We start from the raw sequence: 19631 nt of genomic DNA, 5'->3' as shown, positions 1-19631 counted from the left end.
ACATGATTAATCATATGTTGGGAGCAGGGGAGTATAGGGGAGTGCATTTCTCGGAAAGTTTTTCTTTCCTCATTGCTTATATCACATCTACTTTCATCAAACAAAATAGGGATATGCAAAAATGAGATGTTAAATGATTCAGACATTTTTGACAAAGCACCATGCAGAGTAGACAAAAGAATATACTTAAAGGGGAACATACTCATTTCAAACCGAGTTTCATATATTCTTTACAGATTTTTCAGTGTCCACTCAGGGTACAAATATGAATCCTGCACAGCAGACGACAAGGTTCTTTGGTTTCCTACACTCAGAAGACACAGAATCCGTGATTACCTATATTTGTTGGTTCTTATAGAGAGATCTCTAGTGATATTTTAATAATGTTTAATCTGGAAAGTCAAATGTGAGTATAAATTGGGTCACATTAAAAAATACACGAACAAGGCTGGGCGTGGTGGCTCACGCCTGTAATCCCAGCACTTTGGGAGGCCGAGGCGGGCGGATCACGAGGTCAGGAGATCGAGACCATCCTGGCTAACACGTGAAACCCCGTCTCTACTAAAAATACAAAAAAAATTAGTTGGGGGCGGTGGCGGGCGCCTGTAGTCCCAGCTACTCGGGAGGCTGAGGCAGGAGAATGGCGTGAACCCAGGAGGAGGAGCTTGCAGTGAGCCGAGATCGCACCACTGCACTCCAGCCTGGGCGACAGAGCAAGACTCCGTCTCAAAAAAAAAAACAACAACAACAAAAAACATGAATAAAATTTGAGAATGGAGCATAAGAGTTAGCACAACTTCAAATTTCCTTGGAAGGAATAAGTCTTATAAATAATGTGGACAAGTTTATCATCCAGAATATGCGGGCAACTATGAACTTTATAAGTTACTATGGCTATTATGACATTGGTCTCTGGAGTGAGAACCAATTGGTGAAAATCTCTAGTCTGCCTTTTATTAGCTTTTTGACCTTGTGAAAATTTCTTCACCTTTTTGAGCCTCCAACATGGGGATAATACAAGACCAGTACCTACCTTATAGACTTGCTAGAAGGATTGAATGAGATAAAAAAAAAATGTGAAGTTTGCTAGTGGCCACATGGTAATGCATATAGATATTGTGTAAATATTGTTATTAGTTTTACTTCACTGGCTTGTAACTTTTTCAGAAATTACCATCAGAAGGAAGCAGCTATTATTTCTTTTGAATAGGCCTTAATATTATTTATGTATTGGCTGACTTCTGCACCTACTAGAAGCATTGATTATATAAAGCTAAAGGGTCAAAAGAAACCCCGTATTCAAGCTAATGTTATCATATAGAAAGTTCTGCTGTTTAGCGGCAATTATGGTATGCCAATATTTTGACTCCTCCCACAATAAGGTGAATTATAGTTTCTCTTCCCTTTAATGGAGGTTGGCTTTAGTGACTCTTTTTTAACTCCTTTTTTAAATAAAGTTTTATTCTCAAAATATATATATGTGTGTGTGTATATATATTATATATATACACACATACATACACACACCACACACCAAGAAACAAAGATGTTATTTCACAGAACTTGCTTGCCTCAGTCTTTATGAAGAACACAATTCCAAACTAATGGACAAGTTCCCCCATGATATGGTTTGGCTGTGTCCCCACCCAAATCTCATCTTGAATTGCAACTCCGGTAATTCCCACGTGTTGTGGGAGGGACCCAGTGGGAGGTAATTGAATCATGGGGGCGAGTTTTCCCGTGCTGTTCTCGTGATAGTGAGTAAGTCTCATGAGATCTGATGGTTTTATAAAGGGCAGTTGCCCTGCACACACTATCTTGCCTGCCACCACATAAAATGTGTCTTCACTCCTCCTGCACCTTCCACCATGATTGTGAGGCCTCCCCAGTCATGTGGAACTGTGAGTCCATTAAACCTCTTTTTCTTTATAAATTACCCAGTCTCTGGTATTTCTTCATAGCAGTATGAAAATGGACTAATACACTCCTTGTGCTCTAGGTCACTCAAAGGAGCCAAGCCCCTTTGTCAAATCAGGAGCTCCATCAGCCAATCAGGAACCCAGATGCCAGCGTGGGAGTTTGTCAGTGGAAATAACATTGCATGACTTCCAAGTCTGGGTAAGAAAAGGTGACATATCTATCCCCGGCTTTCTTGGGACAGGTAGCTACCTTGAACTCTGGGCCTCCATTCTGGAGCAGCTACTTAGACACAGAGGGAGATGCCCAAGAAGTCCTAGGCTGCTCTATCCTCCCACCTGTTTTAGTACCTACATCAACATGAATGAATAGACTTGAGATAGTCTCAGCTTCCAGTCCCCAGTTCCTAGCCGGTAATGAGTAGAGCGGAGACAAACTGTTATACCAATCCTTGTCCAAATTGCAGATTCGTGAGCAAAATGTTGTTTTAATTCACAGCAATAGTTATTGGGAAAAATGACCAATTTGTTTGTTTCTGTATGTATGAATGTTTTGCTTATCTGGAATGTTCGTCAGTTAACTACATGGGTACCAAACTTTGCTCAACTTGAAAACTAACTATGTGTCTGATAGTACTCCAAAAGTCATTGTTAAACAGTTAGCACCCAGTAACATTTTCCTACAAATACATGTTTAATGAACCTTAGATATAATGTAGATTAGTCTTTAAAAAAAAAAAACAAGCTCAGAGGAGTCATGTAACTTTCCTCACATTTTACAGAAAAATGATACCATTGGTTCAACTAGCTATATTTGCTTCCCTGATGTTTTACAGAATACTTACTAAAGAATATTCCCTTAGCATATTGTAGCTGCCTTCATTATTCCACCATTAGACTGTGGTTTGATTACTGCTCTATTACCCACTCCTACTAGACTATTCTCTTCTGGACAGCAGGCATATTTGTATTATTCATTCCCGTATACCTAGAAACTGGCATGTCCTCAATTAGTTAAATGCCTCTTGATAAAAGATTATTTGGAATCTTTTTGGATGGATATAGGTCAGTGGTTCTCAGTACAGAAATACTTAGGTTAAGGCCACAGTCCTGCAGACTGATTGAATTGGCTTAGAGTGGAACCTAGGTCTCTGTGAATTTTAAAAGCTCCTAAGCTAAGTCCCTTCAAGTAGCTCTGTTGTCATGTGTAGCTACCAATTGTGTTTCCACAGGTAGATCATGTCCCCAACACTGTTTCTACACAAAAGCAATGACCTACAAAAGGTCTCTTGGAGGATGAGTTTTGTTTTTTTTTTTTTAATCTCCATTCATAACTCATTGTCTGATCAATAGTTATGGTAACTGGACATTGGAAGGCAGGAACAGGAGAGGTGGCAAAAGTAGTATCCAATATGAAGCAAATTTTCCCACCACCACACATCTAGGTTGGTTTGTTTTAACCTCCCAGAAGCTGACCTTTTGGCCATCTAAGTACTCTAAGTAAACCATGATGCCTAAGGGAGCAGCTTGGCTTCTGAAATACCACTTGATCTATAAAGTTTGGCCCTGGGGTTTTGTCTACCCTGGAATCAGATGCAGAAGAAAGGGAAATAGATAGTTACACTATTTTAATTTGATCCTGAAAAAACACTGCAATGGAGTCTGCCGAAGGCTGTGAACTATGTTAACTTCCAAGAAAAAAATGTGAACCTGACTGTTTTTCTTTATTTAAACCTCATGCTGAATTTGTATTCCCATGAGATTTTATTTATCTGTTTGTTTATTTTTTTCCTTTGGCAAAATAAGCAATTGTAGACACCTCTCATATGGGAAAACAAAGTAAGTCCCATAGAAATAAATGAAATAAACAAATATAGGGCATATTTAAACATAAGAGTATAATAGCTATAAAGCCAGTGCAGTGTAACTAAGCACACGCAAGCTTTGGCATCACAGATTTCTCACTAGCTGTGTAGCCATGGTTAATTTACTTCAATTCTCTTCACTTCAGTTTCTTCATTTGCAAGATATCAACCCAATAGGATTGTGACTGAAATCAAATGAGGCACCCAAGTCTAATATGAGAAAAACATGAGAAAAATTCCAGGAGGGGGACATTCTACAAAATACCTGACCAGTACATCTCAAAATTGTCACGATCATCAACAAGGAAAGATTGAGATACTGTCATAGCCAAGAGACGCCAAAGGAAAAATGACAACTAAATGTAATGTGGTATCCTGGATAAGATCCTGGAATGGAATAGAAAATGGGCATTGGGTAGAAACTGAATAAAGTAGAGACTTTAGTTAATAACAGTATGTTGATGTTGGTTTAATAATTGTAACAAAGGTACCATATTAATGTAAGATGTTAACAATCAGAGTAACTGGATTCAGGGTATATGGAAACTTTCCATTCTATTTTCTTAATTTTTCTATGAATCTAAAACCAAAAACTAAAGTCTACTTAAAAAAAAAATCACAGGAGGCAACATACATAAAAGCATATAGTTGGTGCTCCATAATGTAACCTCTTCTTTTCTGGGCAGTGTGGAAAAACAAACTGTTGTTCATGTCTTCTGGGATCTTTTGCCCCTTTCTAATCCAACCAGAAAGGTTCTGGGGAGAATGTAAGTCATCTCTATATTCTCATCTGCAGGTAGCCAGGGGTGAGAATAGCTACATTTACTTAAGTTTAGTCTGTGGAGTAGTTTCTGCTACAGAATGATTCTTGTTAGACCCTGTAAGAGTTCTTTTGGCTCAGGTCCCCAGAAAATAAATTTACAAACCCTTAAATCAGTTCAACGTATCAGGAACGGCCATATAAATCCATTCTCGTTGTTTGCAAGAAACTATTGTACGTTAAAATATTTAAGATTAGGAACGAGACCTATATAAAAATGTTTCTAAGAAAACTTTTTCCTAAACATAATATATAAGCTATTTAGACTGCTTCACGTGCCCAGGATAGAGTTACCCTTTTTTTTTTTTTTTTTTTTTCTGGGTTGGTGGTACTTTACCTCTCTTTTATTGTACCAACAACCCAAAGATTAAATAATTAAAGACTATAATCAGTTCTTTTTAGAATGGAGGTAAAAATATGAAAAATTTAAATCCTGTTATTTTTCCAAATTACACAAAAAAATTAACTTATAAATCATAAAGACTTTCAAGTAAAATTTTACTTTGACAAAGTAGGGATTCTAGGCAAAATTAACTGTATAGTTTGACAACTCTCTTAGATACCTCTCAACTTATGATGTGGAGTGGAATTTTTATCTGCACATTAAGTTTTAAGTCAATACAACATTAAGGCATAAGATATCACTTTCTATACTTGAAAAGGTATTCCAAAGTTTCTCCATATTCTCCCCCATCAAAGAAGTTGTGCCTAAAATTCAAACAATTTGATCTTGAATTTAGATGTAGCAAAATTCAGAAAGAATGTCAATCAGTGGCTTGTCTAAATTCCCACAGTGTGCTGGGATTCACATACTTACTGTTGAGGTCTTTGTCAGGTGGTATGCCCAGTGACTCTCTGCCCAGGATTTAAGATTCCTTAGCTGTATTAACACATTTGAAAACATTATTCCGATCAGTAGTCTCTAAGTGCCTTCATTTTCTCAAGTACAAAATGGACATAATTGAATATTTACTACATCTTAGAGAAGTGTGCAGCTTTCAGCACTCTGAAACATTTAAGAGGCTCAGGTGAAAGATTAAAGAATTAAGTGTACACACCGTCTTTCTTAATTTTGATCCACATGAGTAGTATTCAGCATAATGTAATACAGCAGGTTACAGAGCATAATTTGGTGTATTGCACAAAATATCTCAGAAAGCACTAGATAGACCTAAATAGAACCCAATCACCTACTCTGTTAGTAAGATTGTTTCAGAGATAATATAGGTAATATTTCACAGCTGCTATTTTTTTCCGTTAAAACACAACATTTTCCTTGTTTATTGGGCTGATTTTGACCTTCATTTAAGTGAATAATTCACTCATTCCTTGTTAATAAGAGGAAGTGAGCATAAAAAAGAAAAAATAAAATTCTAGTTCTTGAGGCTATAAATTTACCACATATATCTAAATGATTTTCTAAATAGCCTTCAAGACATATATATATATATATATATATATATATATATATATATATATATATAAATGCATGTATAATTATATCTATATCTGTATTATCCCATAATGTAAATATTATTTGCTTTCAGGGCAGTCTTTCTTATGGTTGTTATGTTGCATAGTTCAGTATCATTTTTATACAAACCTCTTCCTTTAATGACTTTAACAATTCTTTCTGCTTAAATTCTAGTGGCCATTGTATAAAAATATTTTTTATTCTAAATTACCTATTGTTACTGAGAAAGAGAATTCTTGAGTGAAAAACTGAAATTTGTTATTTCGATGTGCACAGTAAGTTAGATCGATAGTAAAATTCTAAAAGGGGAAGAAGATAATCTGCTTTCTGATATTGTGTCCTTTGTTTCTTCAACCATTAACATCTGTGAGCCGCTGTCAGTAATTTCTTTAATGAGATTATTGTGTTTTTCTTTTAGAAATGTAACTGTCAAGCATTTTACATTTGTCCTTGCTAATAATTCCCCAGGCCTTTATTAAAGAGATTTACAGATTTCTTAAATCCACAGTCCTGCATCACTCTGATACCCACTTCTAATAAAATAATAAATTAGATTTTATTCTTTGCTTTAGCCTTACAAATGAGCAAATAAAAAAAGTGTTTACTGAATAATCTGTCCAAAGCCAAAATAAATCATATGCTTCTCTTTTTCAAGCGTTTTGATAGCTATAAATGAGCACCTACTTGACATTGAATAAAATGACCATTTTAACGTATGCATTTTTATCAAAAAGAGAAACTCATAATTGGAAAACAAGAATTGTGATTCAGGAGCTTTTCAAAGAAAACATTAAATAACTGCAAATTAATCAAACATTTTCTCAACAACCTTACTTTCTTACTTTTGTAGGTTTGCCTAAGAAAACATGTTAAATTGCGGGATGCTTTTTTTCCAGTTCTCACTTGAGCAGATCCGTTTAGCTAAGTAGCTTAAGGTGTATAATTTAGAAATATTTTCAAACATCTTCACTATAACTACAAAATAATCAGATGTTCATCATTTAAAATGAAATGCTAAACTGTTTGGAAATATTCTCTAAAACCAGCAAAAATCACCAGGCAGATGATTTGCCTCTCAGTGTCTTCCTCTCTACCTGCATTCTTTCCTCTTTCTCTCCATAATGCCATGTTGTAGTACATCCTTCTTAGCCTCCAATCAACATTTCAAGCACTGGGATCATGTTTGATATTGTCAGATGGCCTGGAAAATTAAAAACCCAATTAAAGGCTCAGCACGCGGGTCAGCTCTTCTGCATATCAAAAGGCCTCCTCTGGCTATTCTGCTCAAATTGTATCTGTTAACAGCTCACTTTGCAGAAAGTGAAATAGCAGAGCGTTTATGAGTAATAAGTACTTTCCAGCTGATACATTTCAAACATAAACCACTTTCATGGCCCCGGCAAAAAGTACAAGTCATAATCAAATTGTCAATTTTTTCCTGTGAGATGCATGGATCTATTGTAACTGTGATTGTTAAAGGAAATGCATTTTATTCACATGTTGGGGGAAAAAAAGATGCACATTTTCCCTACAATTAAAGATTTTTTTGTCACTTTTTTACTGCCTTTCCTTTACATTTCTAAATAGTTACTATAATTGATTTTCGGGTTGCATTCTTTTTTTTTTTTTGGTAGGAGAATCATTTATAGTTTTTATGTAGTGGAAGAAATGGTTGGAGTGAATAGCATTTTTGTTTAGCTGGGGTATTAATGTTCACCCAAATGTTTATAATGTGAATGTGCAAAGCACTAAAAGCTTTCGAGCTAAATGCAAATTAGTCGAGCACTCAAATGACATTTTTAGAAGGAGTTTTCATCTGTCAATGTGGCATAATATTAAGTCAAACTAAAGTCACTACTTTAGCTACTGGCCATTTGAAAAAAATTTTCATAAGATACCAGGGTTGACAGAAAAGAAAACAAACTACATAAATATTTTTCAACATATTATATGAACCAAGCAGCTGCTACAGGATTTCACAAGAAGTTAGCATATAATGTCTCCACTTAGAATATATTGTGAGTGTATGCAATGTCAAAAATCTAAATCCCTGGGTTTTGCATAATGCATTAAGGTCCACATCTAGACAAGAAAGATTTTTCAAAGAAATGTCACGTGATGAAATAACACATATTTCCCTCAGTTAAAAAAAAATAAAAATAATCTTGGTGATAATCCAAAAAATATTGCAAATTATTAAAATGAGTACCCACTGCAAAGTGCATTTTTATACCTCAGATTATGCCTCTTGAAATAAACACTACTGTTTCTAAGTGTTTCCTGTGTCTATTGGTTAATTATTTGTAGTGAGTACTTGATCTCTATATTGTTTTCAAAACAAGAACCTACTAGGACCTAAAGTAATTGTCTAGGATTATTGAGAATCCGGACTCATCACAGGAAAGAGAATTGGTAGCTACAATAGAAGGCTCACCTTAAACCCACCTCCACTGCACCTAGATATAGTAAGCCCAAACTCACCCCACTGTTTGAGGCACTGGCAACACGAGGTGGAATGGAGGGTTGTTGTCATTAATGGAGGATGAGCCTGCACGCTGATGCTTTAAAATCTGCATTTGGTGGACTCATTGCCACCGTATATGTTGACATTCTCTTCCAATATGTCCACATACCCCTTGATGCTTTTTCTTCTCACTGTAAATAATATTTTATTGTGCATTTCACAGATGCCAATAATGTATTTTAAAGTGAGGTGCTCCCTTTTTTCCATAAAAGGGGAAAAATAAAAGATGGAGGAAGAGCTTCAAATTTTACTTCCAACCCTCTTTATTGACTTCATTTATTAGTAACTGGGTGGTTTTTCATCTAGTCTTCAATACATTTTTAAAGATTTTTCCAAGCTTGGGACATTGGTCTCAAAACACAGCAGCCGATCCCACCATGGCGCCTTTGGGTCCGTAATAAAAGAAGCGACAGATCCTAAACTACAGAGGCATGAGTGGGCGCCCTATTAATGACTCAAGCGCCTCACTACACCTTATTCATATTAAAGGGCAACATATTGCATATTAATAGACAATTTAAAATAATTACAGGCTTTAATCTTTTCTAAAGAACAGTTTCTTGTCTCTTGAAAGTTTTGTACTTTTTATATAAAAAAGAAAGCAAGTGCTTTTTCAGAGAAACAATGTATAATAATATGTCAGTAAAGATTGAGCAATTTTGAGTAGTGATGGGTGAAAAGGACATTATGTTCTTTTTTCTTGTCATGGTCGGTATTTTTCTGTCAGTCGGCAAAGGCTGCACTCAGCAAGAAGAAGCTAAAGACCTGCATTGAGAGACGTGAGGGTGACAGCTACCCTGACAGGTCAGAAGATGACTGCAGAATTAGCCTTACTTTAATTCGCACTAAAATTCACAGCTCCTGACGAGGAAATGGGAAAAAGAAATTTCCTTACACATTTTCTTTTCATTTCATGTGCAGATTATACATATTCTGCTTCCATTAACAAGAGGGAGATTGTACTTTATGCAGCTCTATATTTAAGGGCAAAAGACCAAGAAGATGACAAGAGTGACCTCTCTCTTGTCTTATGATCACTGCCAGTTTGACATGACACTAATTAGACTGCCTTAATCTAAACCCAGTTAGTTCTGCATGCTTGCAGCAAAACCATTGTAAACCCTAATGTAAATTGCCTTAGGCCTTTGTCTTCTTAAATCCTGCCTCTCTCCTCCATCCGCAACCCCCATCTTTACATACCCACATGTATACATATGAAAAACTAGATCTTTAATAATCCTAACCCATTAATCTTAACAAATAAACCCACGAATGTCCTCCTAATATTCCTTTTCTGTAAATGTCACCAATTTCCACTACGTAATGCTGTCTGGTATGACTTGCTGGACATGGTTGGAAGTCTCCTTTCATTGTAAAAGCCTTGAAGGGAATAAAGGTCTGAAAAGGCCACGGAGACTTTTAAAGTACATGATGACGCCAAGGCTGTGAAATATGTTTAAGTGTGAATTGAATACCCTTCTCAAAAAAAAAAAAAAAAAGGAGAAAAGGGAAAAGAAAAATAAAAACTGAAGACATTCTCTTTATCAGCTGATTAAAAAGAGAGTCGATTAATTCGGCAAGAGTTAATACATTATAAGGAGGAGTCTAAAAGAAGATCCAGTAAGTCAATGTTCTCTTAGAGACCCAAAGGAATTCCAAGAATGGAGAAAATAAAAGGAAGGAAAAGAAAAGATGAATAAGCTAAGATCTATTTAAGAAATACCGAATACATATAATCACACATAAACCCCTTGAATGAGTTAAATGAATCCAGCCAAACTATTACTTATATGAAACATTATCTGGTCAATGCAAAAAGCAGGAGGTGGCCATACTAAGCCTTTCCCTAACAAAGAAATTGGTAGTTGGACATTCATAGCCGCACTTTCGCTCTAGCAAAGCCAAGGTTGTTTTTCTCCTATTGGCTGCAACAGCTTTACCATAAGGACATACTTATTCCCCCAAAATATACGTGGCCAGAGATATATGCTAATGAGATGGGATTTCCAATGGTCTCTGTACTGCGTAAAATGTAAATATGCTCTTAAAGCTGGAGTTGAGAAATGGGCTGCTTCTTCAGACCTGTGAGGCTGACATTCGCTTGCATCTCCTATACCTTAGGCAGTAGGGCCAGAAATCCTACCCACAGTGTTGACCGATCCAGTAAGTACATGTATTCTAAAGCCTGTTCCCACATCCCATTTATAACGATTTCGTACTTATTTTATAATAACGTCTACCATATGTTGAACACCTTCTCTGTACCAGAGTCTGAGCTAGGGCTTCATGAACATTAACTCATGTTATTCTGACCACAATCTTTGAACAAACGTATTATTTTCCCATTTTACAGAGAATGAAATTGAGGATCAGAGAGTCTACATAGCTTGCCTAGAGACAAACAACTAGGATGGGCAGTGCCAGGATCAAACTCTTACGGTCAAGCTCCAAGACTTACTATGCAAACAGGGGAATGTGTAGGAAGAGAGGTGCTACAATACAATTGGAAGTGGTAGAAACTGTGGTTAGCTGAAGAAAGCAAGACCATCCAAAGGCTAAGATAGGTCTATGGGTAAATGATGCATTCAGTCTACACCCCTGGACAATGTCACACTGCCTCTGCTTTGGGAGTCTTACAAATAGCCACTCTCTAGTAGCAAAGTTACAATTCATAAAATAACAATGGGGAAAATATGGATTTTATTTCTTTTCCACTCTTAATCTCTACATGAATGTCGTGATCAGGGAGAGAATCACTCAACAGAGCCACCTTAGGTCAGAACCTAAGTAGACCTTCTTTAGTTGGTATTGTTTTGTTGTTAACAAACACCAGCCATTGTCTGTAAATTTCCCTGTCTTGGTTTTGGTTTGTGTACAGATTTTCTTGGCTGAATAATGGAAAAGTCACTGCTAATGAATATTAAAAGCCTGTAATTTAGTCAAAAACAATGTTGTCCACAGTTTTTTTCTGAGTAATTTCAGTTGTGTGTGTGTGTGTGTGTGTGTGTGTCTTTTAAATCAAGCATAAATGGTAGATAATGTTCCTCTGAATGGGGCCCTTAGGCTTTCTTAGCTGAGGCTTGTTTAGCTTGCCAAGTTTAAATATTTTCTGAACTGATCCCAGAACTGAGAAGCCTTCATCACAGCACAGCATTAAAAATGATGGATGTGATACATATTTAATACAATAAAATGGCCATTTATATGCCCATACTAGACACATGGGAAATCCTCACAGGAAAGATTTCTAAAATCAAAAGGGGCCTATTCTCTAATCGATGTGAGGGGATTTACACGGATAACTCCCATTAATGCTAATGGGTGTTATGAGCTTATATACTGCATGCACCATTGGCAAGATACACTCAGTGCCACTCGAAAGGAAGCTGTTGCACTGATGAGATTCCATAAGAGTATTCTGGGAGAAGGAAAATTTGAGGAAGAGCTAAAATGACAGTAAAGTTGCAGCCATAGTTTGCTTCATAAAAACACTGCTTTCCCCTCTCTCAGGGGCCTGAGTTTAGGATGACTGCTACTAGGATGTCTTTTGAACCACAGGTTATGGTGCAGGGTGGTTACAATATTCAGACTCATAAACTGGATTTCATAATGCTGTTAACTCTTAAATGCAATGCCTGGTTAGGTGCTCTGGTAGATTTCGGAAAGTGAGTGACGCTGGAAATAATTATAACAAGTCAAGTCTAAATCACATGATAATACTTGCTTCCTCTTACTCTAGGAAGAGAAAAGGAGCTGCTTATATAGACCTAGCTACCTCCTGCCCCAAACCCTGGGAGAAAGACAGACAGTTCCTATCTCTTGTTCAACTATTACTTTAAGGTCTTTATCTTTGAAATTAGTCTGCTATCGGTTTTATTAGGCATAATGTGACAAATTTTCGGGATAAAGTACTCTCGTCTGGGTTGATTTTGCCCAAAGTGGAGTAGTATGAACAATTATTGATGATCAAGGAGTTATAAGTACATTCCCTTTTTATAGGTATATTTTATTTTGCAACCACTAAAAGTGGTTCATTTACTAGAAATACAACACCTTAAATTGACACTTCACTGCAGAGAAACTCACTATTATTCACACATAATGTTTCATATTTAAAACAACTATCTTTCCCTAATATTGGGAGTAGAGAGAAATTGAAACACCAAGGGACTAGATCAAAAACCACTCAGACCATGAGTGGAATGGCTAATTATCTGATTGTCCATTCAAGTATTCACCTTTTTTTCTGAACACTCCTGTAGTGTTTCCTCATGTGACTTTCTTGTGGCACTAATCAGACATTATATTGTACTATAGTTATTTATGTGCTTCTTTCAGATGCCCTAAGCCACAAATTCTTCAGGTCAGGATCCACTTCTGATTCATCTCCACATTGTCACACTCTCAGTAGTTTCTCAATAAACACTAAATGAATAAATGAAAAAATGACCAATACCCATCTGTGACTGATCTTTCCACTTCTTTTTAGTGTATGAGCTACACGCTATTCCTATAGTGTTCTTTCCAAAATTCGTATAAACATCCTTGAGGAAAAAGAGCAGAAGGGATTTGGGAAGTATGAAAATCGCTTCTGACCCTTGGAGCAGAAGGAGAGGTGAACTGCCTTAGTCTGCGTTGGACACAGTGTTGTTGAACAACTCTGCAGAATCTTTCTCCCTCACTCTCCACGTGGACTCTATGTCCCACCTATAATCTTGTACGGCTGCAACAGACCACATGGCCCATAACTTACAATGCCACCTAACAGAGTCCTCTCCCATTGAGAGGACTTACATGTATTTTTTAAGAAGAATAATTTTGGATAGCTTCATACTCTTGGTGTTTGAGGAGGAGTATTAGATCCCAGTTGAAAATGAGGCCATCTCCTTTTTGTACAGCCATCCCCTTATATCCATGGGGGATTGGTTCCAGGACACCTGCAGATACCAAAATCAGCAGATCCTCAAGTCTCTTGTGTAAAAGGTAGCATATTTGCATATAACCTACACATATCCTCCTACATACTTTAAAGTCATCTCTAGATTACTTATACTACCTAATAGAATGTAAATGCTATGTAAATAGTTTTTGTATTGTTTAGGGAATAATGACGAGAAAAAATCTGTACATGTTCAGTGCAGATGCAATTTTTTTCAAATATTTTCAATCCTCAGTTGGTTAAATCCATGGATGCAGAACCCATTGATACGGAACCCACAGATACAGACAGCTAACTGTACATTTCTTTATAAAACTCTCAGGTGACTTGCATGAAAGGACAATATTTGAACTCTAGAAACAATGCCTAAAAAATATTGTTGGCTATATAATATTTGAAATCTTGAAACTTAAGGAAAATACTTAAATCTCCTAAGTAATGTAAATTAAGACAATGATATGTGAGGGTAAACCACTTAAAGACCTGGCTGTATACTGTTCCTTTAAAAAAAAAAAAAAAGTCTGGTGTTATGCTGGAAACTGATGAGACGCAAACATATTAACAGTTACCAAAATAGCTGATCAATCTAGTTGATTTCGTAAATAAAAATGAGGCAGCCCTCAGAGAAATGCAAATCAAAACCACAATGAGATACCATCTCACACCAGTTAGAATGGCAATCATTAAAAAGTCAGGAAACAACAGGTGCTGGAGAGGATGTGGAGAAATAGGAACACTTTTACACTGTTGGTGGGACTGTAAACTAGTTCAACCATTGTGGAAGTCAGTGTGGCGATTCCTCAGGGATCTAGAACTAGAAATACCATTTGACCCAGCCATCCCATTACTGGGTATATACCCAAAGGACTATAAATCATGCTGCTATAAAGACACATGTACACGCATGTTTATGCGGCACTATTCACAATAGCAAAGACTTGGAACCAACCCAAATGTCCAACAATGATAGACTGGATTAAGAAAATGTGGCACATATACACCATGGAATACTATGCAGCCATAAAAAAGGATGAGTTCATGTCCTTTGTAGGGACGTGGATGAAGCTGGAAACCATCATTCTCAGCAAACTATTGCAAGGACAAAAAACCAAATACCACATATTCTCACTCACAGGTGGGAATTGAACAATGAGAACACATGGACACAGGAAGGGGAACATCACACACTGGGGACTGTTGTGGGGTGGGGGCAGGGGGGAGGGATAGCATTAGGAGATATACCTAATGTTAAATGACGAGTTAATGGGTGCAGCACACCAACATGGCACATGTATACATATGTAACAAACCTGCACGTTGTGCATGTGTACCCTAAAACTTAAAGTATAATAAAAAAAAATGAGGCAGCCTTGCTTGTAGATGCCAGTTAGGCAAAATAACTGGTTAATCTACACATCCTATCCTTATCCCTTAGTCTCACTAGCCTATAGTCACATATGTTTTCTTTCATGTAATTCTCAAATGAGAAATAAAATGCTCAAAAAAATTGAGCAATGCTCATTTGGTTTGCTTACATTGTTTTTACCTCAGCAATATAATAATTTTAAAGAATATAAAGTAATTGTACAACTGAACAGAATACAAAAATAAAAAGTCAATTTTACTTTTCACTCCAGAGCACTTCCTTTCTGCAAACATCTTCCACTGACATCCACCTCTATCCCCACTAGCGGTTGTAAGTTTGGCCTGATACACAGTTCAGTGGCATGCAGGAGAGACATAAAGTTAAAATGAAAATTAAGCACTTTATTGACAAGAAGAATTAACATCCAACAAAAAATAAAATCCATATGCACCTTTTTGCTGAGGAAAAATGATGTGCAGACAACACAGACTATTGATTTGAACCAATGGAAGTTAAAGCAGAATATTTATTGGACCTTACAGTATTTAAATGCCTTAAATTCCACTTAGTACCACTAGCTGCTAGCACTGCAGAATTCTAGAATTGCACCCTGCAGTTTGTACTAATTGGTGGGAAATGGAGGCCTGATGTCAAAGACAACTATAATTGTCTGATGAAAATAACTTGCTTTTGACACCAGTATATGTTGCACCCCATACATCACATCCTCCTTGCGTAAGGAGGTGTTATTTTATATAGCCAAGGTAATTATAATTGGCTTTAATGTATCTGAAATAACTACATAGAAAAGAGTCTTGTAAGAAAGAAGAGGCTTACAATGACCTAGTAGCATTTATGACAAAATGGTTCCTCAAGGAATTTTTAAATTTTTTTTAAAAGCCTAACCAAAAGCATTGGCTTATATTATGCAGGTTTTAGAATGTTAGAAAGCTGCAATTTAGAGACAATCCTATTTTGACCATAATGTATTTTGTCATGTGAAGATAAAATGTAGGAGACGTTTACATTTCTCCAATCCACTGAGCTTCCAGCCCAGGACTTGCATTTCTTTTCTCACATCAATCGACATCTTTTTAAACATTGTAATCATGTCTATCTCCCTTGTCAGCAAATAAAATTTGATAAATAAAATTCCATATGATAAATATGTTAGATTTAAGGAGCAGCCTTGATAAAGTGTGGATGTTTTCAAAAATGAGTTGTGAAAAACCAATACATTTAACAAGGCTAATGTGTTACCAGTTCCAAATATATTATGGATGATGTGCAGAAGTATAATGACCCAAAAGAGCATTTGCACAGGTTTTCACACTGCTTAAATTACTGCTAGATAGAAAAAAAACATTCTCCAGAAGTTGGACCCGTTGCCTCTGTAGATCAACATCTGACTGTAGCAACATCTTGGCTTGTCACTAAATTTCAAATTAACAGCAGCCACCAGTAACTTATTACAAGGGAGTATTTTCACTTCACAAGCATCAAATCCTATGGCACATTTTTATAATATGCAGCCTTTCCTCCCATCCCTTACTCTAAACCTTCTGCCAGGTTTTGTTCTCCTGACCTACTACCTTCCTAGTTAGCCAAACCCACTCCATTACCTTGAAATCTTATTAGTTATGCAAATATTCACAGATAATTTGGAAAGAAGTGATGATGCTTCCTCATTTCTGTGGTCTTCAATTCTACAACACTCATTATACTTTACATAACAAAATGCACTTCACACCTCAGTTTTTCCTGTACAGGATTGTGACATTAACACACACTTTGTGTTAAAATAAGCCAAGTAATATGCTAAATATTTTACATGTGTTATTTCATTGAATCCTTACCTCAATTCTGTCAGAGTTACTATTAATTACTTCCATTTTGCAGATGAGAAAATTGAGTTTTGATGCCAATGCCGGTGCTTTTAACCACTTAGTAATACTTCCTATCCTCTATGAAATATATAAGGTTATGCTGCGTTCATATTTTTTTCAGATTATGTCTACCCAACAAGAATGAACGTTATATAGACTCTACCACATAAGATATGATTGTATCATGTTGCTAATGACAGCCAAAATATATAATGTATAATTTTAATAGCTTCAAATGTGTATAATTTTTAGATTTCCTTAGAATACCACAGTAATTACACCAGGGAAGCTATGTCAAAACTCTGATGAAATCATCACAAATTCTCTACCAAGATGCTGTAATAAATCTTGAATTGATGAAGCAACCATTTACAAATGAGACACATGTATAGTGATAAAAATAGGGTACAAGAAATGGGGAGATCCCTTGGAAACATCCTGCAAACTACAAAGTGGTCTCCTGTTGTTAGTTATATGTATAATATTTTAAAATTCCTCACCTTTCCTTTTTGCGTATATGACCTACAACACATTTATATAGGTTTTATACATTACATTATATGTGTGTTTATTCCTTCATAGCTTGAAAAATACTATGAAAGTGATTTGTTCACCCTGTTGCTTTTGGCATAGTCAGTTTATCTTTTTAGAAATAATATCATTTTAAATAATAAGAAAAGAGAATAACTGAGCACTGATTTTAGAGTAGAAATAAGAAAATTATAGAGAATAATTACTGGCAGCCTCTATACACTCTATCAGAGGAGGCCTTCAGTATGAGCATCCACTTGTTTTCGCTGTGGAGTTGTGTCTATTAAAGAAAACATATTGAATTTTTATGGGTCATTTCTATTAGTAAAATCTTCCTACTACATCATACTGCAATTTAGTGGGCTCCTACTTTGTATCAGACACTGGAATGGGTATAATACATAGGTAGATACAGATATAGATCTGTAATAATAATAATAAAAGTCATAGCCTGAATATATCAAACATTTTCTATTAAATATTTGACATGCAATGTCCAATATTTATTTATCCAATAAGTTATTTATTCATTAACATATGTATTGAGACAAACCTTGTTCAAAGTTGCAGATAGGATAGAGAAATGAATAAAACAGACAGGTAATATAAAGGATAAGTACTATTTTTAACCTCTGTTTTACAGATAAGAAAGCAGAGACCCCAAAGTATTTATGAAGCTTGCCCAGCATTGTAAGGCAAAAGGGTAATGAAGGTGAGGTTTCACCTCTCCGTCTGTTAGCATGAGAAATCTTGCACTTACCCCCAACATGCCTCCATGCTGTGTACAATGTGGGCTTATTACTATGATGGTCATGAAGGACTTTTCCTACTGTTTGGGTAAGAGAAACTTAAGATTAGTACTTAACCCAACTTAATTCTGATATAAATTCTTATGCAATAAACATTCAAGGGTTTATCAAAAAGGATTATTTTAGTCATTAAATCCAAGATTTTAAAAATCAGAAAAAAAATTATATGCTGCCAGGTAGTAAAATTTAAACCACTATTCTTTCAGGATGGACCTCTTTAGCGTGGCTTACTTTTGTAGCTATTAATGGAAGGCTGGTCATGGTGGGGTAAGAATATGAGTAAGAATAGATGTCTTAGTTTCAATCTATGGCTCTAACATTAACTATTTTAATTTTTTGACAAAATTTAATGAGTACCTATTAAACATCAGACACTGAAATAAGTGCTGGGGATACAGTGGTGGAAAAGAAATATCCCTGACTTTATGTAGCATACAAAATAATCAGGGCACCAGGCATTACACGAATCATTGAAAAATGAGAATTGTGAAGAATAAAAATAGGGTGTTTAAGAGAAAGATTAACTTAATGGAGTTATTGGGAAAATCAAATTTAGAATGAGGGCCAGGCACAGTGGTTCACACCTGCAATCCCAGCATTTTGGGAGGGTGAGGCGGGCAAATCACCTGAGGTCAAGAGGTTGAGACCAACCTGGCCAACATGGTGAAACCCCGGCTCTACTAAAAATACAAAAATTAGCCAGGCATGTTGGCGCACACCTGTAATCTCAGCTTCTCAGGAGGCTAAGGCAGGAGAATCGGTTGAGCCCAGGAGGCAGAGGTTGTGGTGAGCAGAGATCGTGCCACTGTACTCCAGCCTGGGCAACAGAGCAAGACTCTGTCTAAGAAAAATAAAATAAAATTAAAATTAAAAAATAAAATAAAAATAAAAATAATTTAGAATGAGGCATCAGAGGAAGGCAACTTGGAGAAAATGATTGTGAAGCTGAAATTGAAAGGATTAGTGATATTGGCACAGGTGAGGACTGATATAAAGAGGCTTCTAGGAAGAGACAAAGATGCCAGCAACTCAGGATTGAGAAAGAGCTAAGCATGCATCAGAAACAGAGACAAGGTCAGAGTGATCAGAGTCAAGGTGCCTGGGGTTGGGAGTGGGATGGAAGGCATGTGACACAGCAGAAGTGGGCAAGGCTGAATCACGAAGGTCTTGTTGAGGATGCTGGCTATTGGAAGGCACAGGCCCAAAGCCAACTGTGAAGACTTTCCAAGCTCCACCGGATGCCACGATGCATGAGGCCTCAGGCAGCCAGAGTCCTGCTGCACATGAGATGTGTGTGGCAGAGAAGGATGAGGAAATGGTATGAGGGAAACTGTGGAATCACGCTTTACCTTCTCTATCACCGTCTGCCAAAATTCTACACATAGAATGCTAGTTGGTGCTGTCTAAATGAGATTGAGGTAAGGATTCCTGGTAGGACCATGAAGAAGGTACTGGTGACCTTACACAGTTCCGTTCTGATTCCCCTTCTGCATCCTGTACA

At 36.5% G+C, this 19631-nt stretch overlaps 1 long non-coding RNA gene across 1 annotated transcript in view, besides 1 other annotated feature; it reads left to right on the top strand.

The window, feature by feature from the left end:
• LOC105370772 (uncharacterized) overlaps positions 1–5994 on the top strand; it is a 63650-nt gene extending 57656 nt beyond the window's left edge. Inside the window, exons 3-4 of the long non-coding RNA XR_932115.3 lie at positions 2000–2118; positions 3928–5994. This is a non-coding gene — a long non-coding RNA (uncharacterized LOC105370772). The remainder of the gene's footprint in view (positions 1–1999; positions 2119–3927) is intronic.
• Positions 6843–8520: an enhancer, noted in NCBI's record as "VISTA enhancer hs599". NCBI's record gives its function as "enhancer in: forebrain[9/9]" and the evidence as "EXISTENCE:transgenic organism evidence [ECO:0001131][PMID:17130149]".

This window comes from Homo sapiens, chromosome 15 (genome assembly GCF_000001405.40).
Source record: "Homo sapiens chromosome 15, GRCh38.p14 Primary Assembly".
In the NCBI taxonomy this organism is placed as follows: Eukaryota; Metazoa; Chordata; class Mammalia; order Primates; family Hominidae; genus Homo; species Homo sapiens.
Note: the sequence above shows the minus strand (reverse complement) of the source record. Positions and strands in the feature narration are given on the sequence as shown.